At 45.4% G+C, this 26,448-nt stretch overlaps 1 protein-coding gene across 20 annotated transcripts in view, besides 1 other annotated feature; it reads left to right on the top strand.

Moving 5' to 3' along the window:
* Positions 1–25,318, top strand: part of VDAC1 (voltage dependent anion channel 1) — a 142,670-nt gene extending 117,352 nt beyond the window's left edge. For 5 of the 20 annotated variants that reach the window (NM_001401008.1, NM_001401011.1, NM_001401016.1 and 2 more), the window contains 8 exons: positions 4,171–4,243; positions 4,834–4,883; positions 6,035–6,187; positions 6,282–6,334; positions 16,233–16,460; positions 21,168–21,318; positions 23,341–23,398; positions 24,327–25,318. In NM_001401008.1, coding sequence (NP_001387937.1) covers positions 4,177–4,243; positions 4,834–4,883; positions 6,035–6,187; positions 6,282–6,334; positions 16,233–16,460; positions 21,168–21,318; positions 23,341–23,398; positions 24,327–24,418 — 852 coding nt within the window. In that variant the 5' untranslated portion in view covers positions 4,171–4,176 and the 3' untranslated portion in view covers positions 24,419–25,318. Of the gene's footprint in view, positions 1–4,170; positions 4,244–4,833; positions 4,884–6,034; positions 6,188–6,281; positions 6,335–7,945; positions 9,272–15,994; positions 16,084–16,190; positions 16,461–21,167; positions 21,319–23,340; positions 23,399–24,326 lie in introns of those variants that run through there. The other 15 variants (NM_001401009.1, NM_001401010.1, NM_001401017.1 and 12 more) reach the window with 11 other exon arrangements.
* Positions 22,825–23,025: a silencer, noted in NCBI's record as "peak5471 fragment used in MPRA reporter construct". NCBI's record gives its function as "represses an SCP1 promoter by STARR-seq MPRAs in K562 erythroleukemia cells {active_cell/tissue: K562}" and the evidence as "EXISTENCE:reporter gene assay evidence [ECO:0000049][PMID:32103011]".

Genomic DNA, 26,448 nt, shown 5'->3' with positions numbered 1-26,448 from the left:
CTCCAAAAAGAGTGTACCTGTAGTACTCCCCCTTGGCGTGAACAAGAGTGACTGTTTTCCACACCCTCACTGACACTGGATATTATTTACGTTTTTGCCAGACTGCTGGTTAAGTGAGCTTCTGAAACACAGATGTGGTAGTCACTCAACAGTGGCTCTTGGTGGCCCTTAGAATAAAATCCATGCATGGTATTGAGGTCAGAAGCAACCAGTGCTTCTGATGGCACTTGGTCTCCTCAGCCTGAGATCAGCTCTCCTTAGGCCGAGGTGGGAGCAGGCAGGGAGTGGAGGTCATTGCTAGTTGAGGGTCTCCCCAACTCCCCCACTCTTGGTGATGCTGCAACAGTGAGCCTGCAGAGGGAGCTCTTACTTCCTGGTTGCATTGTAATGAGTTCCTATTGTCAGATTCCAAGTTTCTACTTTTTTCCCCATTGCTAAATAATACTTTGATGCTCATTGCTCATTCACTCATCAAACACATTTATATTGAATGCCTATTATGTGCCAGGGCTTAGCATCTTTATATACGTAACTTTTTCCATATTTTGGATAAATTTATGCATGACAGGCTCTGGGGTGCTTTGAATTCAAAGAGGTGATTTTGGGGGTAGGTGTATGGGGTAGGGTGGGGTGGGGGCACGGTGAGCACAGCAGCTGTCATTGCCATTCAGCTGATGAGCCAAGAAGGATGTGTACCCCCAAGACAGAGGTTACGTAAGTATTATGCAGACTGTGCTGGGTGATAGATACACTATCCTTCCCCTCTGTGCTTCCAGTATGGGCCGGATTTTCATTCCTCAGCTGGAATGGGGCTTGCATAATTTGTTCAAGGTCAGCCAAGGAAAGGTTGGGTAGGTAGACTGGCAGGCTGTGGAGGGGAACCAGGGACTCCTGTATCCTGGTGTGACTTGCTGGTCCTTCTCAAAGTCTTCAGTGACTGCAGGCAGGTCTGCTCAGCCTGGCCCTGCCCATCCCTCTGTTTCCTACCAACCAGTGGGAACAAAGCCCCCAGGCTCTGCCCTGAAGCCATCACTCAGGCAGAGAGGCCTGTGGTTCTGACTCCCCCAGGACGCCCTCTGACTTCTGTCTGTCCAGGGCTAGCTGCTTTGCCGATGCCAGACTGCCCTGCTTCATGCGCAGCCTCTAGAGGCTCAGCTTGTGAAGGCCCCTGGGGGGTGGATGCTGCAGAGACAGCTGTGTATCAGTAGCTAACTGTACAGGCTCCGATTTGGAGCAGATCTGGGTGGAAGGAGTGACTGGGAGGGGTGGGGGCCAGGGTTCAGCCTTCAAGTCAGCACCCTGGCAGGGTGTTAAGTGAAAGCAGGCTTTGTTGCCGACTTTTCTTTCCTCCAGTCCTCGCCTTAGAAAATTAATGCAGATTATTATTTCTATCATAAAATTGTCTCTGAAATGGGTTCGAGAGCTGTGTAAAAATGGGCATTTTGGGGGTGCTGTCTGTAGCTGTAAGAAAGCTGAACTTCTCGGAGCGGCAGAGCTGTCTCGGGCCTTCCTTAGTTCCGTCAGATCAGTGCAGCAGGGGATGGGCCGAAGTGCACAAAAAGGAGGGGAAGCTACCACTACCTGGCAGTTGGGGGCCTTTAGTGAAAGGGTGAGTCATCCTTTTGCTGTCCTCGGTGGTGTCACTTCAGGCCCAGGAGTGGACTTGACTCCATTCAGCCAGTGGTTTCTGTGAGTCTTCCTTGCCAGGTGCTATGCTGGGGAGAATGCTTACTTGGGGGCCCAGAACGGGGGAGATTATGCTTCATTGTCGGTGTTCAAGGAGATGGGGAAGAGAGCAAGACACAGATGAGAAAGCCAGCATCCAGTATGTTTACAGTGAGGCATTGGATAGGGATATGTTTTAGTGAACCAGCAAGTTCACTTGCGTGCTGCTGGTACCAACTACATGGTTGTGTTGTGGAACCCCACAGCCCCAAAAGAGCTTGGCCGTGTCGGAGCTCCTAGAGGCCCCAGGAGGGGTCCGGTCTGCTCTTCTGAGCTCTGCTCTCTGAGTGCCTTGTCCTTGGGTGGTAATCTCTTTAGTGGCCTTGTACTTCAGGCTGATGTTTGCTGTGGGTGGGGTGTTTTTTGACAGGTGGCTGTGCTTGTTGGATTTTGGGGATTAGCGATGAGAGAGGGCATTTGGGGAACATTTAATGGATGAGTGCTCTGCCTTTATCCTGAGCGGGGACCAGTCCAGATGTGAAGGCTGCTGTGTCTGGGAGGCGTCTCTTCTGTGGGGTCAGGGGAGAGTCGTGGGGAAGGCTCTGGCTCCTAAGGTCCAGGGAGGTCTTAGGTGACCCACAGATATTACCACTGGACTGCTTCTCCTTCTGCTTCCCCAGCCCCCACCCCGGCTGAGTTTGTGGCCCCCCTGGGAGGCATAGCACTGAAGAGGGGTACTTGGTTCACTGATGGTTTGTTAACCCTGTCGGGTGGAGAATGTTCTGGGCCCGTTACTGTTATGTTCTGTGTCTGCCTGGGGTTACATTGCCTCAGCTTTCAATCCAGAGTTGTTCTCCTAGGAAGGTGTCAGGTAAAGGGTATTTCTTGAGGTTCTGGTGGGTGGTTTCCTGGTCTATCCCGGGGGGATGCACCTACAGGGTTAGTTTGGGAGGGAGGAACAAGTGGGGAGAGGGGAGCCCCCAGACTGGAAAGAGCCAGTGGCGGGCAGTGTAAAATGGATCTTCCCCCCTCATCTCTCTACCCTGATACTAATGTGGGCTGACCTGTCCATGGTTTCAGCCTGATCATGTGCAAGAAATAACACAGCAGCGACAAAAATAGGACAGAGTAAACAGCTCGCTGCTCTTCTGTCTGTGCTCTGACACAAAAGTGAGCTGGGATAAAATTAACAAAGCATCTGGAAAAAGTAAAGTAGGACCTGGATCACAACTTCACAATTTAAAATTGTAGAAGTTTATACTGTTTCTTTTACAACATACTCAGTGAGTCTGTGGCCTCCTGCAATGCCTTTGAAGTTAAAGCTTTGGCCAAGAATGCAACTTCCATTGATGATATGGAAGCATATCATGTCATATGACATGCCAGGAGCATGTCATATATGTGTTTATTTGTGTGAATATATATACATGTAACTTCAGATGGTATATATGCAGATGAATTTTGATAATTTAGGTATACTGTATTTTAAAACGAATGGAATGGTCCTTCTGGTTGAGACTAATGATTCTGGGGATGGAGAAGGTGCAGGAGATGAGGCTTTCTCATGCATGACCCCCTCTCCTCCTGGGCAGAGCACACCATGTACAGTCCCAGATTAGGATATTAATCCTGTGTACACAGCATATACAGCATGCCAAAGCAAAGCCTTCCAGGAATGCAGTGTGGTCCTTAGGGCAAAGACTATTTGAGTTACTCTCCTTCCTTGAACACCGAGGTGCTTAATAAATGTTTGTTGATTGACTTAGTGATATGCAGCAATCCCAAGTAGTCCTTTGATGGTTGGTTTTAAAAATAAAGTTACACTGGAGCTCAATAAATATTTGTTTAATGTATTTGGAGGATGTATTTGGGTTTTTTCCATGTGAAGAGCTGCCAAACTGGTTTGGTTTTACTGTATTCTCTATGAGAAATATGAAGTGGGTTCCCATAAAGTCCAAAAGTTTTGTGAAAAGTTGGGCCCATCCTGGCATATAGTAGGTACTCCATAAATATTTGTTGAATGAATGAAATCAGAGCCACATGGAAAATGATGTTCCCATGAAAAGCTCTGATTTCTATTCGGTACATTTAATGTCCTAGTAGCTGACATTTTGTAAGATGATATGTTTTATTGGCAACAGTCCTACAATTCAGTAAAGTCACTGGCTCATGGGAATGTGTCTTTGACAGTTTATTCATTAAGCAAATATTTCCTGACTCCTACTCTGTTCTGGGCCTGGGCTCAGTCCTGGGGATGCTGAGGAGGAGAGGTCTAAATTGTTGATCATCTGTCAACAAAGACTCATTGAGTGTCTCAAGCTCTGGCCACAAAATGAAGGACAAGACAGCAAGGGCTTCTTGGCCCATCTGGGAGGATAAGCTACCTGGTAGTCTTAGTGCTAGGTGATTTTTATTGGTTGCTAATTACATCTAATAATTGTTATTGATGGAAAGCTAATTTCCCTAATTATCAATGCATTTATTCTGGTGATTCTTTTATCATAGCAGAAGATGGCTGTGCCACCCACGTATGCCGATCTTGGCAAATCTGCCAGGGATGTCTTCACCAAGGGCTATGGTGAGTGTTGCAGAGAGGGGGTGCCTTTCAGCTCACAGACTGAGTTGGCATGTTTGAGACTTTACCGATAACTGTTTAGGAGACCTGGGTAGGTCAGCTGTTCTGAACTTTCACGTGAGGGAAAAAAGAAGCTTTCATTTGTGTGGCAATTGTAGCAACTTTGGTTGTGCACCCAGTTGGACAGGCTCCTGCATTGGTGCTGTCAAGTGGGTATTCTTGTTTTCTTTTCCAAGTGTGGAGCAGCCCTGTGGAAGCTGCTGCAGTGGAGCGCGGCTTCTATATTTAGCCTGTGCTTAGGCACATGCCCACGAGGCCCAGTAACTGTGTCTTTGCCAGCTGTCAGGTGTCTTCTTATCAGACCCTGCTGGGAGTGCAGGTGGGACCCAGGTGGGGGTGCCCATTCTGTCTGCTGCTGTTCCATGGCAGCTGAGAGCTCCCCCCACGAGCAGCAGCAGAGACTGGGTGCCCTCAGCCCCTGTGGCAGGAGTGTGCTTCTTTTTAAAAAAGCATCCTGAAGCAACCATGAGGGAGGCAGAGGTGCTGTTCTCTAGTTATTTAACCTATTGACAGTTGTCTTCTTCTTTCTTTAGGATTTGGCTTAATAAAGCTTGATTTGAAAACAAAATCTGAGAATGGATTGGTAAGTTGTCCAACCCACATGGAACATGAGTATTTATTTATTTTTATTTTATTTTATTTATTTATTTTTGAGATGGAGTTTTGCTCTTGTCGCCCAGGCTGGAGTACAATGGCGTGATCTCAGCTCACCACAACCTCCACTTCTTGGGTTCAAGCGATTCTCCTACCTCAGCCTACCGAGTAGCTGGGATTACAGGCACCCGCCACCATGCTCGGCTAATTTTGTATTTTTAATAGAGACGGGGTTTTTCCATGTTGGTCAGGCTGGTCTTGAACTCCCGACTTCAGGTGATCCGCCCACCTTGGCCTCCCAAAGTGCTGGAATTATAGGCATGAGCCACTGCGCCTGGCTTATTTTTATTTTTAAAAAAGATTTTAGATTCAGGGTGTACATGTGCAGGTTTGTTACATGGATGTATTGTGTAATGGTGAGGTTTGGGCTTCTAGTGTACCCATTACCCAAATAGTGACCATTGTATGGAACGTGGGAATTTGTTGTAGATCAACAAATAACTGTCGTGACCTGGCCCGCAAAGCCAAAAGAAGGTACTTTTTTTTTTTTATTCTGGCAGTTTTTGTGGTTTTCACATTCATTCCATTTTCTGCATGATGGGTGGTCCAGGGGAACCATGCCAGTAGGCCCCCAGTTCAGCAGCGGGTAATAGAGGAGAATGGGTCAGGTCTCAGTTTTAGTTTTCCTTGTGCTTCTTATTTTCAAATTCACCTGCATTCAACCACATAAGTGTTTTTAAAGTAATCTTAGTAGTCCCTTTGAAATTATGTGTGCAGTAATTGTTGGAAGAAAGAAGTTTTGGGTTTGAATTACCGCTGTGTCAGCTTTAGCTCAGTGCTTTTTCTCTGTACTGCCCTGGAGCCAGGATGGAAGGGAGATGCTTTCCTGTCCAGACTGAAGAGTTACAGGGAGGAAGGAAGCTGTCTGCTGACAACAAATTCCCCATAAGATTTCTTTACATAGCAGGCTCCTTTACTCCCATCTGTACTTTAAATATCTATTTGAATTGTAGAGTTAGCCTTGGCCCCCCCACATTCAGGGTCTTGCCTCTTGCAGAAAGGCAAGTATAGTGTTTAGGAGTGAAGTGAAGCCAAGTGAGTGCTATGGTGCAGGCTGTGACTCTTCTCTCTCCTTTGAAGGAATTTACAAGCTCAGGCTCAGCCAACACTGAGACCACCAAAGTGACGGGCAGTCTGGAAACCAAGTACAGATGGACTGAGTACGGCCTGACGTTTACAGAGAAATGGAATACCGACAATACACTAGGCACCGAGATTACTGTGGAAGATCAGGTAATGGCTGCTGTGAAAAGATGTGGATTTATTAATTCGCATCTGCCAGCCTGCCTTGTGACTAAATCTAGTGGCAAATTTCTTTTCTGTTCAGCTTGCACGTGGACTGAAGCTGACCTTCGATTCATCCTTCTCACCTAACACTGGGTAAGAGTTTCATCTGTTTTCTCCACAAGGATGTTCTCTGATGTTGCAGGTGGTGGAAGCCCTTTGTGACAAAATGTTTTGGGGGCTGACAGCACCTAAAATATGGTCTCCGAGACCTGGCGATTTAAGTCCTCTGGTTTTGATTTGGTCCCAGGGGTCGTATCCACATCTATGCACTAACAGACTATGCTATAATGAGCACTTCCTAATTCAGGACTGGTGTTTACCCAACAAACGATTTCTAAGTGCCACCTGTGCTTGGCCCTGTGCCCATCTGGAGATCTAAGGGTGCCCAGGCCATGATTGTTACCCGCCAAGGAGCTCACTTTCTAATAGAGGATTCAGACCAGTGTTTAGCCGTGTTTTGTAATAAGATTCTGCATTTTGTTAGTGTTCTCCTAGTTTCTGCCATGGAGGTTGCAGGATTTCTGTTCAGTAATAGCCATTTCATGTGAGTTAGGCTGCTGGTGATGTAAGTGGCTATGACCAAACGGGAGTGGGTGACATTTGGAAGCAGGGCCTAACTGGTCACTGTTGCCAGCCTCATTTCTTCAGGCATGGAAGTCCTTCTCCCAGCTTCCTGCTGCTTAGGGACACTGAGACCCTGTGGGTGTAACTGCAAGGTGGCTCCTGAGGCTGCACTTTCCCCAGGCCTTCTGGCCACAGATGTAATAGGCTTGTTAGTTCTTGACCATCACTTGGCATGATAGCATGGTAGTCTGCCTCAATTCCTGGGTGCTTTTCAAAGTGCCTAGAAGGAATTATTCCCTTTTAGAATACACCCTTGTTTTTTTCCACTCATATTGGTGGGTCTTCCAAACCTGGGGAAGATGTTTTATATAGTGATGTTAGGGTCAAGGGCATGTACTGAATTTCAGTTTTTAAAAATTGTGGGCCGGGCGTGGTGGCTCACGCCTGTAATCCCAACACTTTGGGAGGCTGAGGCAGGCAAATCACCTGAGGTCGGAAGTTTGAGACCAGCCTGACCAACGTGGAGAAACCCTGTCTCTACTAAACATAAAAATTAGCTGCGCCTGGTGGGCGCATGCCTGTAATCCCAGCTACTTGGGAGGCTGAGGCAGGAGAATCGCTTGAACCTGGGAGGCAGAGGTTGTGGTGAGCCAAGGTGGTGCCATTGCACTGCACCCTGGGCAAGAAGAGCGAAACTCCATCTCAAAAGAAAAAAAAAAAAAAGAGTCGGATGCAGTGACTCATGCCTGTGATCCCAGCACTTTGGGAGGCTGAGGTGGGTGGATTGCTTGAGGTCAGGAGTTTGAGACCAGCCTGGGCAACATGGCAAAACCCCATCTCTAATAAAAATACAAAAATTAGCCAGGCATGATGGTGCGTGCCTGTAGTCCCAGATACTTGGGATGCTGAGGCATGAGAATCGCTTGAACCCAGGAGACAGAGGTTGCAGTGAGCTGAGATCGCACCACTGCACTCCAGCCTGGGCTACAGAGAGAGACTCTGTCTCCAAAAAAAAAAAAAAATTGTGGTAAGATATACATATAAAACTTAACATCTTTAAGTGTGTAGTTAAATGGCACTATGAATTTTTCAGTTTTGCCATTCATTTTTTTTCTTTCTTCCTTTTTTCCTTTCCAACAGATATTTATTAGAGGGAGGATCTACCAAGTGCAGACCTGTGCTGGGTGTGCAGTGCACACAAGTGACTGGGCACACATGGTTCCTATCCTCTGGAGATGTCGTCTTATAGCTTGGCTATAGATGATCTGAAGAGACCATTGTTACGGGGCTGATTTACTCTCATTCCTCTTCGCTGCTGTAGTTTCTCCTGCAAGAGCACTGCCTTTTTGCAGTGCTGTGCACTCTCCCCCCAGGAACTCTGCCATGGTATCAGGGAGCGGTTATCTGGAAAGATCCTGGGATAGGATGAGAGGCTGGAGGATGTGCCCACATGCTTGAATTTGCTGCCTGGGACTTTGCCTGCTGCCCTGGGATAGCACACTTTGGAATTTGTAGGTGATTTCCTTCCCATGACCTTAGGGAGCTTTGCAGAGGTCTCCAGGCCATGCAGTATAAAACACAAAGGAAAGTTTTTTGGTTTTTTTTTTTTTTGGGTTGAGGGGGACGGAGTCTTGCTCTGTCGCCCAGGCTGGAGTGCAGTGGTGTGATCTCAGCTCACTGCAACCTCCTCCTCCCGGGTTCAAGTGATCCTTTTGCCTCAGCCTCCCAAGTAGCTGGGACTACAGACACGGGCCACCATGCCTGGCTAATTTTTGTATTTTTAGTGGAGACGGGGGTTTCACCGTATTGGCCAGGCTGGTCTTGAACTTCTGACCTCGTGATCCACCTGCCTCGGCCTCCCAAAGTGCTGGGCAGATTCATGTGTTTCTCCTGCCTCAGCCTCCCGAGTAGCCGGGATTACAGGAATGCACCACCACACCCAGCTAATTTTGTATTTTTAATAGAGACAGGGTCTCTCCATGTTGGTCAGGCTGGTCTTGAACTCCTGACCTTGGGTGATCTGCCCACCTCAGCCTCCCAAAGTGCCGGGTTTACAGGCGTGAGCCACTGCACCTGCCCCCCTTTTTTTTTTAATTTACTTTTTATTTCAAAATAATTTTATACTTAGAAAAAAATGTGGCAAAAATAGTATGCAGAGTTCTCCTGTGTTCTTCACCCAGCTCCTAATGTTAATGGTTTACGTAACTATAATGATCAGAATCAGCAAGTTAATGTTGATATCATATAGTTAATTAATCTGTTGTCACAATGACGTCTTTTTTCTGATCTGTGATCCAGTTCAGGTTCCTAAATTGCATCTAATTGTTAAGTCTTCTCTAATCTGGAATATTTTCTGACTCTGACACTTTTGAAAAAGAGTGGCCAATTATTTTGTTAAGATGTCCCTCAGTTTGGATTTGTCTGATGCTTCCTTATGATTAAATTTAGGTTATGCATTTTTGGCAACTGTAGTTGTTGTGTTATATTCTTCTCTGCACCTGATGTTAGGAAGAATATATCAGTAGGCCTCATTTTTGGTGATCAGTTTTGAAGTGGTGTCTGCCAACTCTCTTCATTGTAAAGCTACTATTTTTCTCTTTGTAATTAGTAAGTATCTTGTGGGTAGACACTTTGAGATTATGCAGATATTCTATTTCTCATCATACTTTTGCTCAAAAATAGTAACATCCATTGGTGATTCTTGCCTGCAACAGTTACGCTTGGCAAATGGTGACTGGAGTGCAGTGGTGTGATCCTGGCTCACTGCAACCTCTGCCTCCTGGGATCCAGCAATCCTCCTTCCTCAGCCTCCCAAGTAGCTGGGACCACAGGCGTGTGCCACCAAGCCCAGCTAATTTTTGTATTTTTAGTAGAGATGAGGTTTCACCAGGTTGGCCAGGCTGGTCTAGAACTTCTCAGCTCAAGCGATCCACCCGTCTCAGCCTCCCAAATTGTTGGGATTACAGGTGTGAGCCACCACGCCTGGCTACAAATGGTGATTTTCTTTTCTTTTTTGTTTTTATGAGATGGGGTCTCACTCTGTCACCTAGGCTGGAGTGCAGTGGTATGATCTCGGCTCATTGCAACCTCTGCCTCCCTGGCTCAAGGGATCCTCCCTCCTCGGCCTCCCCAGTAGCTGGGACTACAGGTGCCTGCTGCCACCCCTGGTTGATTTTTATATTTTTGGTAGAGACAGTGTTTCACCATGTTGCTCAGTCTGGTCTCAAACTCCTGACTCAAGTGATCTGCCTCCCACCTTGGCCTCCCAAAATTCTGGGATTACAGGTGTGAGCCACCACACCTGGCCTCAAATGGTAATTTTCTATTGCCATCCTTCCTTCACTTGTTAATTGGTATTCTACCGTAAGGAAGAGCTATTCCTTCTTCCCCATGTATTTATTTAATCAATTATTTATTTATATTAGTATAGATGCATGGACATTTACTCTATGGGCTATAATGCACAGTGTCATTTATTTTGTCGCTCAAGTTGTCCCAGATATGGGCTTTGGGAGAATACACTCTGTGTGCTTTTTGACAAACCTCTGTCGTTTTTCAGAGCATGTCTTTATTTCTGGTTTTAGAAAGTGTACCACGCTCATCTAGTACTTGTTTTTCCCCAGTCCTGCTATCTGCCATTTCTCCAAGGAGCCTTGGTTCTTTATGTTGGAGAATGATATTTAGAAACTAAGATTGTAGGCCTGGCGCGGGGGCTCATGCCTGCAATCCCAGCACTTTGGAATGCTGAGGCAGGTGGATCACGAGGTCAGGTGTTTGAGACCAGCCTGGCAAAACCCTGTCTTTACTAAAAATACAAAAATTAGCTGGGTGTGGTGGCGCACACCTGTAATCCCAGCTACTCAGGAGGCTGAGGCAGGAGAATTGCTTGAACCCAGGAGGTGGAGGTTGCAGCGAGCCGAGATGGTACCACTGCACTCCAATGTGGGCGACAGAGCAAGACTCCATCTCAAAAAAAAAACAAAACTAAAATTCTGGGTGCTAGATGTACATAATGCTACTGGGTATTTGAGGAAAGTTCTGGTGGTGCATCATGGAGATTAGAAACGAAAGCTGGCTTTCCAAAGTGACTGAGGGTACAGCCTGGGAAAACACCTGGCTCCCAGGAGGAGCGGAGTGTAGACCACATCTGGATGAGGCCACAGACCTCAATAAGGACCAGCACCCACGCTGAGTATCCATCACAAATAAAGCTTGCTTGTTAACCACAAATCAGTCAGGCCTCTCTCGGGTGCTTGTCAAATTAGCACTACTGTTGAAATAGCTTAAAAATAAATCCCAATAATATCTGAAAGAGGAAGACTCCACAGACATGGTGTGCAGTGTTAGAAAGAGACCTGGAGAGAAGCCTGAGCCACTCCCCAGCACTGCCCTTTCTCTTGGGGATTGTGGGCCCTGGCCAGAATCCAGTGAGACAGTGGGTGGGGGTGCCATGTCAACTGGTGCAGGTGGTGCACACCACTGGTCAGAGGCCCTGCCATAGGCATCATAGTTTGTGATCATCAGCAGCTTTTTATTAAAAATTGAAAAAGGAGATGGTTAGAAGATGCCTGATTTTATATTTCCTTTTCCCTTTGTAAATGTCAGCCTCTCAACAGCTGTCTAATCATCAGTCATCTCAACCAGCCTGGTGCCAATCACATACTTGGCTGAAACCCAGACTTCTTTCCCCAAAGAGCAGGCAGATGAAGATAGGTTTCTTTTTCTTTTTTCTTGAGACATCTTGCTCTGTCGCTCAGGCTGGAGTGCAGTGATGTGATTTCAGCTCACTGCAACCTCCACCTCCCAGGTTCAAGCAATTCTCGTGCCTCAGCCTCCTGAATAGCTGGGATTACAGGCACATGCCACCACGTCCTGCTAATTTTTGTATTTTTAGTAGAGACAGGGTTTTTCCGTGTTGGCCAGGCTGGTCTCCAACTCCTGACCTCAAGTGATCTGCCCTCCTTGGAGTGCTGGGATTACAGGTGTGAGCCACTACGCCTGACCAGTTTTGGATTTTTCTTATTGAGAGATAATTTGGTTGTTACTCCTTTCCTTCAAACCTTGCCAAAATGTACAGAAGTAACTTGAACAAAATTGAGGTTCCAAGGCATAAGTTTCATTGTCACTTGTTCTGTTGGTGAGCAGGTCTGTGCACACCTACTCCCAACTGCTGAGGGAGCTGAGCAGCCAAAGAAAGAGACTGACAAATCCAGTTTCTCAGAAAGAAACATTTAATAGAGACTTACAAATAGAAGCGATGTCTCAAGCAGCCAAGAGACAGTGGATCCCTGCATTCATCCTCCAGAAAGTATTCTTTATATAGCAAGCTTTTAGAGTAAAGACATGTGCATGTCTTAGACCATCTTGCAGAAAACTCTTGCAAAACTTGTGACCAAAGGGAGGTTAGATAAGCATCTTTACTTTTTAAATTTTTATTTATTTATTTTTTTGAGACAGTCTCACTCTGTCACCCGGGCTGGACTGCAGAGGCGTGATCTTGGCTCATTGCAACCTCTGCCTCCCGGGTTCCAGCGATTCTTCTGCCTCAGCCTCCTGAGTGTCTGGGACTACAGGTGTGCACCACCACACCCAGCTAATTTTTGTATTTTTAGTAGAGATGGAATTTTGCCATGTTGGCCAGGCTGGTCTTGAACTCCTAAGCTCAAGTGATCTACCTGCCTTGGCCTCTAAAAGTGTTGGAATTACAGGTGTGAGGCACTGTGCCCGGCTGGCATTGTTTCTTTTATGGGATTGTCTATGATGCATTCCTTGGTCGTCATGGCTGTATTAGGCTATTCTTGCCAGGCAAGGTGGCTCACGCCTGTAATCCTAGCATTTTTGGAGGCTGAGGCAGGCAGATTGCTTGAGCCCAGGAGTTGGAGACCAGCCTAGGTAACATGGTGAAACCCCATCTACACACACACACACACACACACACACACACACACACACACACACACACACGCTGGTCATTGTGGTGAGCGCCTATAGTCTTGTCCTTGCATTGCTCTAAAGAAATACCTGGCCAGGCGAGGTGGCTCACACCTGTAATCCCAGCATTTTGGGAGGCTAAGGCAGGCAGATTGCTTGAGCCCAGGAGTTGGAGACCAGCCTAGGCAACATGGTTAAACCCCGTCTACCCACATGCACACACACACTAGCTGGGCCTGGTGGTGCGCACCTATAGTCAGTTCTAGCTACCTGGGAGGCTGAGGTGGGAGGATCACCTGAGCTCAGGAGGTAGGGGCTGTAGTGAGCCATGATCGCACCACTGCACTCCTGCCTGGACAACAGAGTGAGACCTTGTCTGAAAAAAAGAAAAAAATACCTGAGGATAGCTAATTTATGAAGAAAAGAGGTTCAATTGGCTCATGGTTCTGCAGTCTGTACAAGCAGAGCACAGGCATCTGCTCGGCTTCTGGGAAGGCGTCAGGAAGCTTTTAGTCATGGTGATTGATGAAGCAGGAGCAGGCACATCACATGGCAAGAGCAGGAGCAAGAGAGAGAGAGTGGTGGGGAGGTGCCACACGCAAACAACCAGATCTCATAACTCATTATTGGGAGGACAGCACCAATCCATGAGGGATCCACCCCCATGGTCTAACCACCACCCAGCAGGTCCAACACTGGGGACTGCATTTCAACATGAGATTCAGAAGATACAGCATCGAAACTGTATCAGTGGTGATTTTGTTTCAAGACGGTGTCACTCTTGCCATGGAACAGGCTATTTTCCTACATCACTTGGGAGGGGTGCTGGCTTTATTTTCAGCTGTGACCTCTAAAATTCTTGTCTCATTGAGAATTTGGAATTTTTAACCTTTATTTTTTTTTAATGAGAAATCTGAAACATACAAAAATATACAGAAAAATATGTTTAACCCTCATTCTATTCCTATCACACAGCTTTGATAGTTACCAACCTGTGGCCAATCATGTTTTATTTATACAGCCATAAATATAACACTCCTCCACGCACATACTATTTTAAGTAAATAACAACACTTAATTTCAGCTGTAAATATTTTATTATGTATCTTTAAATGGCAATAATCCATTTTAAAGGAGCATAACCATGATATTATTATTATATTGAAAAAAGTTGATCATTTCTTTTTCTTTTTTTTTTTTTTTAAAGATGGAGTTTCACTCTTGTTGCCCAGGCTGGAGTGCAATGGTGCGATCTCAGCTCACGCAGCCTCCGCCTCCCGGGTTCAAGTGATTGTCCTGCCTCAGCCTCCTGAGTAGCTGGGATTACAGGCATGGGCCACCACACCCGGCTAATTTTGTGTTTTTAGTAGAGACGGGATTTCTCCGTGTTGGTCAGGCTGGGCTCGAACTCCCGACCTCAGGTGATCCGCCTGCCCCAGCCTCCCAAAGTGCTGAGATTACAGGCATGAGCCACTGCGCCCAGTGGATCATTTCTTAATATTGTCAAATCTCTAGTCTGTTCAAATTTACATGATTGTTTCATGATTTTTTTTTTTTTTTTTGAGACTGAGTTTTATTCTTGCTACCCAGGCTGGAGTGCAGTGGCGCGGTCTTGGCTCACTGCAACCTCCACCTCCTGGGTTCAAGTGATTCTCCTGCCTCAGCCTCCCAAGTAGATGAGATTACAGGCATGTGCCACCACACCCAGCTAATTTTTGCATTTTTAGTAGAGATGGGGTTTTGCCATGTTGGCCAGGCTGGCCTTGAACTCCTGACCTCAGGTGATCCACCCACCTCGGCCTCCCGAAGTGTTGGGATTATAGGCGTAAGCCACCGCACCTGGCCTTTTGCTGTTTTTAAAATAACAGGTTGGTTCTTTAGTCTTTAAAGATGACAGCTATGTGATTTGAGCGTTATTATAATTCTTTTTTTTTTTTTTTTGAGACGGAGTCTTACTCTGTCGCCCAGGCTGGAGTGCAGTGGCGCGATCTCGGCTCACTGCAACCTCTGCCTCCCGGGTTCAAGCGTTTCTCCTGCCTCAGCCTCCTGAGTAGCTGGGATTACACACGCCCACCACCGCGCCCAGCTAATTTTTGTGTTTTTAGTAGAGACGGTGTTTCACCATGTTGGCCAGGCTGGTCTCGAACTTCTGACCTTGTGATCCACCTGCCTCAGCCTCCCAAAGTGCTGGAATTACTGGCATGAGCCACTGCGCCTGGCCCCGAGTGTCATTATAATGCCTAGAATAAACATACTGTTTAATATGTTTCAGCCTATTGCTAATATTTTTCTTATTGAGGCTCACATTGCTCCATTGTCGAAGCCCTTGGGAGCCTCTTCAGGTTACCTTGTAAGTCCTTTTGCCTCCACCCCAGTAGTCTTCAATAGCTTTGATAGATGTTTTAGGTTACTGTGTACATTTCCTGCCTAAGATCTGTAGTTGGCCATTTCTCCAAGGAGCACTGGTTCCATTTAGGAGGAAATGGTCTAGGTGCTGAGGATGAAGCATTAATCTCAATGTGAATAAAGCTAGAAGTGAACAGTGCTGTGTAGTCCTTGAGGCTCTGAGTGGATCTGGTTCCTCCTGTGGTCTCTGCTGAGAATGCAGCTTCCTGTGGGAGATGTCGATCTTGTAACTGAATGATAGAGACAATCAGATAAAAATGATCCATGTTGTATTTGTTGGATGTGATCTTGTTCTCCAGTGTGTACTTTTGGTAAAAGACATGGTAATAATAGGTCTGCAGGTGACACTATTCACCTGCTCTTCCTAAGGGATGCTGGGTCTTGAGGAACCGGCAGTAGAGACACTGAACTGCTTATAGACTCACATCTGGTATCATCAGGTTGGACCTGGGATACTGTCTGGCTAACTAACACTTCCTGGCCCCCATGACTGCAGAGTTCCAGGTTCTACATCAGTACCCGGTTCTCTGAAATATGTACTCATTGGGGTCTCATGAATATGGAATTGAAATCCATTTTACTGTTGTACTCACTTAGAGGGAACATAGCCTTTGTTTCCTTACTTAACCATGTGAGCCACAGAGTAAGAAGAAAACCGTCTCTTTAAAAGCTGCTATTTAGGTAGCTGCCTTCATGGCAGATAAATCTTTTCCACAGGTTTGGAAAATATCAAAGATGCATCTGTTTCATAATTACATGGTGGCTTTCTACCTAATGAATGCCTGTGTAGGCTGCTACGTTAAGCATACAAAGAGGATAGGAGAAGAAAGTTACTTCGTATTTATTTTTCAGGCTTTTCCTGTCTGTGTTCTCACTTCGTTATTGTGGGGTTTCTGCAGACTGAGTCCCTGTGGAAGAGAGGTTGTGTCCTGCTCATTGTGGTACAGCAGTGGCTTAAGGGAGAACTGGAGCCCTGACTTCACCCCCACCCCACTCCCTTTATTTGACCTGGGATTAAAAAAAAAAAAAAGACAACTTGCATTTCAAGGTGAGTTAGCTTCTGATCTTAATATAACTTATTTTCCTTCAGGAAAAAAAATGCTAAAATCAAGACAGGGTACAAGCGGGAGCACATTAACCTGGGCTGCGACATGGATTTCGACATTGCTGGGCCTTCCATCCGGGGTGCTCTGGTGCTAGGTTACGAGGGCTGGCTGGCCGGCTACCAGATGAATTTTGAGACTGCAAAATCCCGAGTGACCCAGAGCAACTTTGCAGTTGGCTACAAGACTGATGAATTCCAGCTTCACACTAATGTGTAAGTGTACATGGGGGCAGCAGGGTGGGAGGGGTGGGGTTGGAGCATGTGTGGTAAGGGGATTGCTTTTCACTGTTTTTTTTTTTTTTTTTTTAAGAAAGCCCAGTTTTTAACCACTGTAAAGTGAGTTTGTTGGCATTAGATGAGCCACATGGCCTGCTGCTATCTTTTGTTTCCCACCTACCCATTTCCTGGAGTGTCTTAGATCCTTTCCACTCTGTGAACAGTATATATTGCCACAGGTACACAAAGTGGCTGATTAATTACAGCAGGGACATGGTGTCAGTCCAGAGCGTGTCCATTCCCTGCAGTTTTTGTTTTAGTTAACAAAACAGCTCTCTTTCTCTGTCTAATGCCTGAGGATTAGCCTGCTGGGCTTGATGACATGTAGACATGGTAGACAAATTTAGGAGCTGATTATCTCAGTTACAAACTATCTTCTCTGTACAGTGAAGCATGTAAAAGTAACTATTGGACAGTATGGTGAAGGGAAACAGTGATTATAGGTTAGGAGAGAGCCCCTTGAGAATTGAAGTAGATTGATGATTTAAGTTAAGGGAAACACATTTCATTCATGAATCTTGTTTTATCCATAAACCTTGTTTTATTTAGTTTCATGAGGAATTAACCTGTGACAGGCACAAGCTGGGTGCAGAGTTACCATGTTTATTTCTTTCCACTAGAGGTCACTAAAGAAGTAACTTCTTAAACTTAAGGCAAATCAGTGATATTAATGTGTAAACTAATATTTCCATTAATAAATTTTTTGAGGAATTTTTATCATTAATTTGGAATCTGTTACAGCTAAAAAGTCACAGGAAAACTATAGAGATGGACAATCTAGTGGTTGGCAGGGGGCGGGGAGGGTATGACTACAAAGCAGTGACTGAGGGAGTTTCGGGGAGGGAACTGTTCTATATTCTGACTGTCGTCATGGTTACATTAATCTGTGTACGTGTGTTAAAATTCGTAAAAATGTATACCAAGAAAATATCCATTTTGGCCGGGCGTCGTGGCTCACGCCTGTAATCCCAGCACTTTGGGAGGCCGAGGCGGGTGGATCACGAGGTCAGAAGTTCAAGACCAGCCTGGTCAAGAAGGTGAAACCCCATCTCTACTAAAAATACAAAAATTAGCTGGGCGTGGTGGCGGGTGCCTGTAATCCCAGCTACTTGGGAGGCTGAAGCAGGAGAATCGCTTGAACCTGGGAGGTGGAGTTTGCAATGAGCCGAGATCACGCCACTGCGCTCTAGCCTGAGCAACAGAGCAAGACTCCGTCTCAAAAAAAAAAAAAAAAAAAAAAAGCAAAGAAAATATCAATTTTATTATATGTTTAATTAAGAAGAGGTGAAACATACTAAAAAGCTATAGGAAACATACCACATGCATAGAAATGTTTTTGAACGTAGAATTCTGATTGGCATGGGAAGTGTTTTCCTTGGTTTGAAATTGGGCATTGGCACCAATTCTTCAGTACCAATTCTAGGAGGAACAATGGCTGTTAGCCATTTCCCCCACATATCTGAGCTTCAGCATTTTAAATAAGCAACAAGTGGGTATGGTTTATTTTTGGAACCAGCGTGAAGGCAGCTGACACAACTCATCTGGGTTGCCCTGGTGCTTGCAGGGGCCCAAATGCATAACAGAAATTCTTTGTGCTTCATATAGATGAATTTGAACAGTTCCACCTGTGTATTTATTTATTTATTATTATTATTTTTTGGTGACAGGGTCTCACTCTCTCACCCAGGCTGGAGTTCAGTGGCACGATCTCTGCAGCCTCCACCTCCCGGGATTAAGTGATACTCCCACCTCAGCCTTGCAAGTAGCTGGGACTACAGGTGCATGCCACCACACCTGGCTAATTTTTGTATTTTTTGTGGAGGCAGGATTTCGCCATGTTGCCCAGGTTGTTCTTGAACTTGTGAGCTCAAGCGATCTGCCCGCCTTGGCCTCCCAAAGTGCTGGGATTACAGGTGTGAGCCACTGCATCTGCCTTCTGTTTATGGTTTTGAAAGCTCTGTACAGGAAGGCAGTATTGTGTTCCTGGTTTTAGGATATTCTGAAAAGTCTGGCCTTTTTTAAAAACATGTAAGCCCAAGAAACTTCCCCATTTGAATATATTACTAAAGTCATTCAAAAATCTTATTTTTGACAGGCTGCTGTTTTATTGTAGCATACTTGGGCTGTCTACAGAAGACAGGATTCTCTGTGAATCAGGCAGTGCCTGGGTCTCCCTGTACTTTCTAGAAGCATAATGTCTGTCTCGCTGAATTTCATGGGGAAACGAAAATTTACAATGTGTGGCTCATACGTGTAATCCTAGCTACTTGGGAGGCTGAGGCGGGAGGATCACTTGAGGCCAGGAGTTTGGGACCAGCCTGGGGAACATAGAAATACTCTGTCTCTAAGAAATTTTTTAAAAATTAGCTGGGCATGGTGGCAACATGCCTGTGATCACTTGAGCCCAGGAGTTTGAGGTTACAGTGAGCTATGATTTTGCCACTGCTCTCCAGCCTGGGAAACAGAGCAAGATCCCATCTTGGGGAAAAAAAAAAAAGAAAATTTAGAATGTATTCTCTGATTTAGGGAGAGTGTCTTGTGAAGACTAGAGTTTTTGTTCTTAGGTCCTGAAGCCCTTTGCTGGATTCCAAAGTACGTGGGCTCTGACTCACAGTTAACCAATGCCATTTCCACTGGAAATGCCCACAATGATGAGGCAGAACTCAGACACTGATTTTATGTTAAAGATGTTTGAGAGGGTCTAGGCAGGCTTGAAGACCATCTGATGCAAGGAGGATGGTCATTCCTTTTTAAAAAATTGCAGCATTAAAATTTTTCTTAATTTTTTTAATCAAAGGAGTCTGAACCCATGGTTGTAAAATCAAACAGTACAGATGGGCCTATGAAAAGCAGTGATTCCAGCCTGCCTCAGCCTGCTCATCCCAGCTCCGCAGTGGCAGCCACTTTAACTGTTTTTGTTTTCTGTGGTTCCCTCCATGGAGAAGGTTGCTTCTGACCAGGCACCAGTATGCACTGTGTGTATAAACAACAATCTGAAAGCAGTAATGAGAGACAGTCTATGATCTGTGCCGACCCCAGCCCGACAGAGGACAAAGTGTAGACTCTGAGCTCTTCGTATGCCTTTTTAGGGGTGGCAGTGACTGCAGAGTTTGTATAGGCTGTTCAGCTGGGTGGGGCAGACTTTCAAATTCTGAGAGCTTAAGCAGGGCCCCAAAAGAGGAAGAGGAGAATTTGAATGACTGAAGAAGGGAAAGGGATATTCCCAGCAACTGGAGTCATTCAGTGTGTTTGTAAGAGAGGAGGGAGCTTGGCCAGCTGGGGTTTCATTCTGAATGTTTTTGAAAGAGGGAGACATTTTATGATGTAGCAAAAAGCTCCCTTTCAAATCCTGCCAGGCTTAGATGTTGCAGCATGGGTGAGGAGTATGCACAGGTGGACGAGATGAATTGTGGATTAAGCTCTTTTGAAGTGCTGCTCCTCCAAGAGGCTGGGTCAGTGCCAACTGTATCTCCCCAGCAGTGGCTGCAGCAGGTTGTGCCAAGGGCTCTAACTTGCCTTCTGAGGCATATGTGCAGCCCCACCTTTCTTGCCATTTCTGGCTGTGTTCTCTTCTCATTTTCTTCTCTTTCCATAACATTTTTTATTTTTACTTTTATTTTTTGAGCCAGAGTCTCACTCTGTCACCCAGACTGGAGTGCAGTGGTGAGATCTCAGCTCACTGCAACCTCTGCCTCCTGGGTTCAGACGATTCTCCTGCCTCACCCCCCCAGGTTGCTGGGATTACAGGCACCTGCCACCATGCCCAGCTAATTTTTATGTTTTTAGTAGAGACAGGGTTTCATCATGTTAGCCAGGCTGGTCTCAAACTCCTGACCTCAAATGATCTGCCCGCCTTGGCCTCCCAAAGTGCTGGGATTATAGGCATGAACCACTGCACCCGGACTTCCATGCCATTTTTCTGGTAGAATCGTTTATAAAAGTAATAACATCAGTAGCAGTAAAAATAAATCACTCAGAATCTCAGTGCTCTACTTGCTGCTTCTTTTTTTTTTTTTTCCTTATAGAGACAGGATCTCGCTCTGTTGCCCAAGCTATATCCTGGGCTCAAGCAGTCCTGCTGCCTCGGCCTCCCAAAATGCTAGGATTACAGGCGTGAGTCACCACGTACCCCCTCTCCCCTGGCTTTTTCTTTTTTTGTTTGAGACAATGTCTTGCTCTGTTGCCCAGGCTGGAGTGCAGTGGCGCGATCTCGGCTTACTGCAACCTCTGCCTCCCAGGTTCAAGCGATTCTCCTGCCTCAGCCTCTTGAGTAGCTGGGATTACAGGCGTATGGCACCAGCCCGGTCAATTTTTGTATTTTTAGTAGAAACAGGGTTTCACCATGTTGGCCAGGCTGGTCTCAAACCCCTGACCTCAAGTGATCTGCCCATCTCGGCCTCCCAAAGTGCTGGGATTACAGGTGTGAGCCACTGTGCCTGGCTAGGTGCCTGTTCCATACTTATCAGACTTCCTGTAATTTAGTACCTGTTTTGTGAAATTTGGTGAACTTCTGACTTCCCTTAATACCAGTATTGGTTCAGTCCATTTCTGTCATCCCTGTCTTCTGGGAGACTTGGGTGGATCTGTCTGGGCTGCAGCTCACCTCCCTGGGAAGCTCAGCATCTGTCCTGTGCTTGTTTGCAGGAATGACGGGACAGAGTTTGGCGGCTCCATTTACCAGAAAGTGAACAAGAAGTTGGAGACCGCTGTCAATCTTGCCTGGACAGCAGGAAACAGTAACACGCGCTTCGGAATAGCAGCCAAGTATCAGATTGACCCTGACGCCTGCTTCTCGGTGGGTATCTGTGGAATCACGCATCTCACAGGCAGGCCCATCTGCTCTTTATGTTGGAATCCTTCAGGTTTGCTGGAGTGCTGTGCTTCAGCTTACTCAAAGTGAGAGATGCTGCTGGGCGCCGTGACTCACGCCTGTAATCCCTGCACTTTGGGAGGCCAAGGCAGGCAGATCACTTGAGGTCAGGAGTCTGACACCAGCCTCGCCAACACGGTGAAACCCTGTCTACTAAAAGTACAAAAATTAGCCGGGCATGGTGGCGTGTGCCTGTAATCCCAGCTACTCGAGAGGCTGAGGCAGGAGAATTGCTTGAACCGGGGAGGCGGAGGTTGCAGTGAGCTGAGATCGTGTCACTGCACTCCAGCCTGGGTGACAGAGTGAGATTCTATCTCAAAAAAAAAAAAAAGACTCCGTCTCAAAAAAACAAAAACAAAGTGAGAGATGTTCTCACTTTGAAAAGAGTGCCAAATGAGTACAGTGATCATACTACTAGTACTTCTTATGGGTACCAGGCACTGTGCAGAGCCTTTTGTGTAGATTACTGTGTTTAATCCCATTTGAAATAGGTGCTTTGGTTTTTTAATCATCTCTGGGTTTTTTTTATTTTTTGTTTTTTTGAGACAAGGCCCAGGTTGGATGCAGTGGTGTAATTGCAGCTCACTGCAGCCTCATCCTCCTGTGCTCAAGTAATCCTGCCACCTCAGCCTCCCAAGTAGCTGGGACTATAGGCACACCAGCATGCCTGGCTAATTAAAAAAAAATTTTTAGTAGAGACAATGTCTCACTCTGTTGCCTGGGCTGGTCTCAAACTCCTGGGCTCAAGCTGTCCTCCCACCTCAACCTCCCAAATGTTGGGATTACAAGGCATGAGCCACCATGCCTGGCCAATCATCTCTGTTTGTTTGTTTTTTTTTTTGAGACGGAGTCTCCCTTTGTTGCCCAGGCTGGAGTGCAATGGCACGATCTCAGCTCACTGCGCAACCTCCGTCCCCCAGGTTCAAGTGATTCTACTGCCTCACCCTCCCATGTAGCTGGGAACACAGGCACCCACCACCACACCTGGATAATTTTTGTGTTTTTAGTATAGACGGGGTTTCACCATGTTGGTCAGGCTGGTCTCGAACTCCTGACCTCAGGTGATCTGCCTGCCTCGGCCTCCCAAAATGCTGGAATTACAGGCATGAGCCATGGCCCCTGGCCAATCATCTCTGTTTTTACAAATGAGGAACTAGAAACTTAGGTGAGTAACTTGCTCAAAGGTACACAGCAGGAAAGTGCTGGGAGCTGGATTTGAACCAGACTGGCTTACTGTTAAGCCTCTTCCATTAATACCAGTTCCTGTTCTATCATGCGGACTGTTAAAAGGGGCACTCTGAAATCTAGGGTTCTAATTGATAATTCCCCCCGCCCCGCCTCACTTTTCATTCTCCTTTTCAGCTCCTGCATTGCATATTAAGAAATCAATAGTCAGTTGGCATCTTGCAGAGTCTCTGGCATTGCTCACAGGCCCTCGAACTACTACACAGTTTTTGCAGTAAATCCTATTGGGCTCATTTCTGTTGTCACAGGGCACTGGCGGCTGTATCTCTTTGGGGTGAAATGAGGGAATCTCATGTTGCAGAATGGTGTCTGTACTGGTTTGTGTAATTTATGGACAGCCCTTTTTAAGTCTCCTAAACTAGAACCGAATTTGGCTCCCTTAACAGCAAGCACTTAAAAACAAGAGAAAAGGAGCCTCATTATTTATATGAGCAAAAGGACACTGGCCCCTAAGAGGCCTTCCTTCTCTCTGCTTTGTTCTTATGAGGGGTGTCAGATCTCAGCACACCCTTTGAACAGAAAGGTATGCACCTAAAATTGATGTATTTTGTATTGAATTTAATGAATCTCATGAACAAGGTGGTCATGAAAAATTTTGATTCTAAAGTCCAAGGTTGGTTGACTAAAAAGCTCTAATTTTGGAGATGGAAGTGCAAAGTATTATACTTAATGTTTTCTCTGTTTTGTCATTTCCTTGATTAGGCTAAAGTGAACAACTCCAGCCTGATAGGTTTAGGATACACTCAGACTCTAAAGCCAGGTATGTGTTGCTTGTGTGTGAAATCGGTTCTTTATCTTAAAAAAATTGTGGTGCTGGTTTGCTGATTTATGTCATTGCTTATAAAATGTTTATATAATACAGTGGGTATATATAAATGGATATATGTAAAGTATAATTAAATGTTTATAAAGGAGTATGGGGTCATTATAAAACATTTGGAGAATATGAGATGTAGCAAGCAGGAGGAAAAAGGCTGAGGCTAACACATATTCTTTGCTATTTTCTTCCATCCTTTTTTCCAGTGTGGACATAATGCTTGATACTTATTTCTGGCAGATTCTCAAAACTAACTTATAAATCAGCCCCACTGTAAAAAGACAAAGAAATAGGAAAAGTGGTTTGCAGGTTTCCTCTGCACAGTTGGCTAGGCCAGTCCACGGCGTATTATAGTTCTAGTGTATAACCACTTTTGAACCCTGGAAATCTAAGACTACCAGCTACTCCCTGAATCAGGTTATTCCAGGGAATGTCAGTTTGTTGTGTGCATCTGTGGATGTACATGCACACTACACATGTGTGTACACTATGAACATGAACATGTAAGACCTTAGGTTGGATTCAGGATTGAGGTTTCATTTAAAGGGATGATTGCCAAAGAAGCTTACTGCATGCTACCAGTGCTATAGACTAATTGTACCAGGGGAACAGTGAGAGGAAAAAGGAAAGTGGGGTTCCAGAAGTAGATTTGGGTAGGCTCTCTGGGCGGTGGGATAATTATAGTTGTTTTATAAGCCCACTGTAGTATGCCTGTTGGTCAGATAGTGCTAAGTAACAAGGATTGAAGGGCCATGTAGTTTGGACCCTGCTGATAATACCTGGAACAGGTTCTGAATTTGGTGTTAATCTTTCTTGTCATTTCTTTCCTCCATTCCTCCTCCTTTCCTCTCCCTCATTTTTCTCCCTGCAGGTATTAAACTGACACTGTCAGCTCTTCTGGATGGCAAGAACGTCAATGCTGGTGGCCACAAGCTTGGTCTAGGACTGGAATTTCAAGCATAAATGAATACTGTACAATTGTTTAATTTTAAACTATTTTGCAGCATAGCTACCTTCAGAATTTAGTGTATCTTTTAATGTTGTATGTCTGGGATGCAAGTATTGCTAAATATGTTAGCCCTCCAGGTTAAAGTTGATTCAGCTTTAAGATGTTACCCTTCCAGAGGTACAGAAGAAACCTATTTCCAAAAAAGGTCCTTTCAGTGGTAGACTCGGGGAGAACTTGGTGGCCCCTTTGAGATGCCAGGTTTCTTTTTTATCTAGAAATGGCTGCAAGTGGAAGCGGATAATATGTAGGCACTTTGTAAATTCATATTGAGTAAATGAATGAAATTGTGATTTCCTGAGAATCGAACCTTGGTTCCCTAACCCTAATTGATGAGAGGCTCGCTGCTTGATGGTGTGTACAAACTCACCTGAATGGGACTTTTTTAGACAGATCTTCATGACCTGTTCCCACCCCAGTTCATCATCATCTCTTTTACACCAAAAGGTCTGCAGGGTGTGGTAACTGTTTCTTTTGTGCCATTTTGGGGTGGAGAAGGTGGATGTGATGAAGCCAATAATTCAGGACTTATTCCTTCTTGTGTTGTGTTTTTTTTTGGCCCTTGCACCAGAGTATGAAATAGCTTCCAGGAGCTCCAGCTATAAGCTTGGAAGTGTCTGTGTGATTGTAATCACATGGTGACAACACTCAGAATCTAAATTGGACTTCTGTTGTATTCTCACCACTCAATTTGTTTTTTAGCAGTTTAATGGGTACATTTTAGAGTCTTCCATTTTGTTGGAATTAGATCCTCCCCTTCAAATGCTGTAATTAACAACACTTAAAAAACTTGAATAAAATATTGAAACCTCATCCTTCTTCTGTTGTCTTTATTAATAAAATATAAATAAACAGGGCATTTGTTTAGATTTATTTTGTCTTCATGCTCTGTGTATTATATATTATTCGTTTTCACTCACTGTACAACAGATTACCATATGTTTAGCAGCTTAAAACAACACTCATTTATTTCACAGTTCTGCAGGTCAAAGCGAGGCAGGTGTGCATGCCTACCTGGACTGTGCTTAGCTTCTCACAATGCTGGAATTAGGGTGTCGACCAGGCTGTCTTCTCATTTTATCTGGGGGCTTGGCGTCCTCTTCCAGGCTTTCAGGGTTGTGGTGGAATTCAGTTATTTTCAGTTGTAGGACAGAGGTCCCTATTTCTTTGTTGGCTGAGCCACTCTCAGTGCTCAGAGGATGCCAGCATTCCTTGCCATGGGGTCCCCTCCATCGCCAAAGCCAGAAACAGAAAAACTCCCTCATGTGAAATCCCTCTCACACTTCCAGTCTCCTCCAGGTAGAGCCCCAACTCTTTTAAGGACTCACCTGATTAGGTTAGGCCCAATGAGGGTAATCTCCCTTCAAGTTAACTGCCAGGTAAAGTAACCTAATCACTGGTAATATCCTTTCATGTTTGTAGGTCCCTCCATATGGGTCATGGGAAGGGGTGATTTTGGAATTCTCCCATATATTTATATGTTTTTAATAACTTGATGGTGGATTTTTTTTTTTTTGAGGCGGAGTTTCATTCTTGTTGCCCAGGCTGGAATGCAATGGCGCACAATGTCTGCTCACTGCAAGCTCCGCCTCCTGGGTTCAAGCAATTCTCCTGCCTCAGCCTCCCCGCCTCCTGGGTTCAAGCAATTCTCCTGCCTCAGCCTCCCGAGTAGCTAGGATTACAAACATTTGCCACCACACCCGGCTAATTTTGTATTTTTAGTAGAGATGGGGTTTCTCCATGTTGGTCAGGCTGGTCTCAAACTCCTGACCTCAGGTGATCTGCTCACCTTGGCCTCCAAAAGTGCTGGGATTACAGGCGTGAGCCACCACATCCAGCCTATTGTGGAAACACAAATAGTAATAAACTCTATGCATGATCCAGCTTCAACAAATATGAACATTTTTTTCCATTCATGATTTTTCAGCAGAATTCCTTTTTTTTCTATGTTTGAAAGTGACATTCAAAACAGGAACCATCTATTTTA

The sequence above is a fragment of the Homo sapiens genome, chromosome 5 (genome assembly GCF_000001405.40).
Source record: "Homo sapiens chromosome 5, GRCh38.p14 Primary Assembly".
NCBI lineage: Eukaryota > Metazoa > Chordata > Mammalia > Primates > Hominidae > Homo > Homo sapiens.
This window is presented reverse-complemented; position numbering and strand designations above follow the sequence as displayed.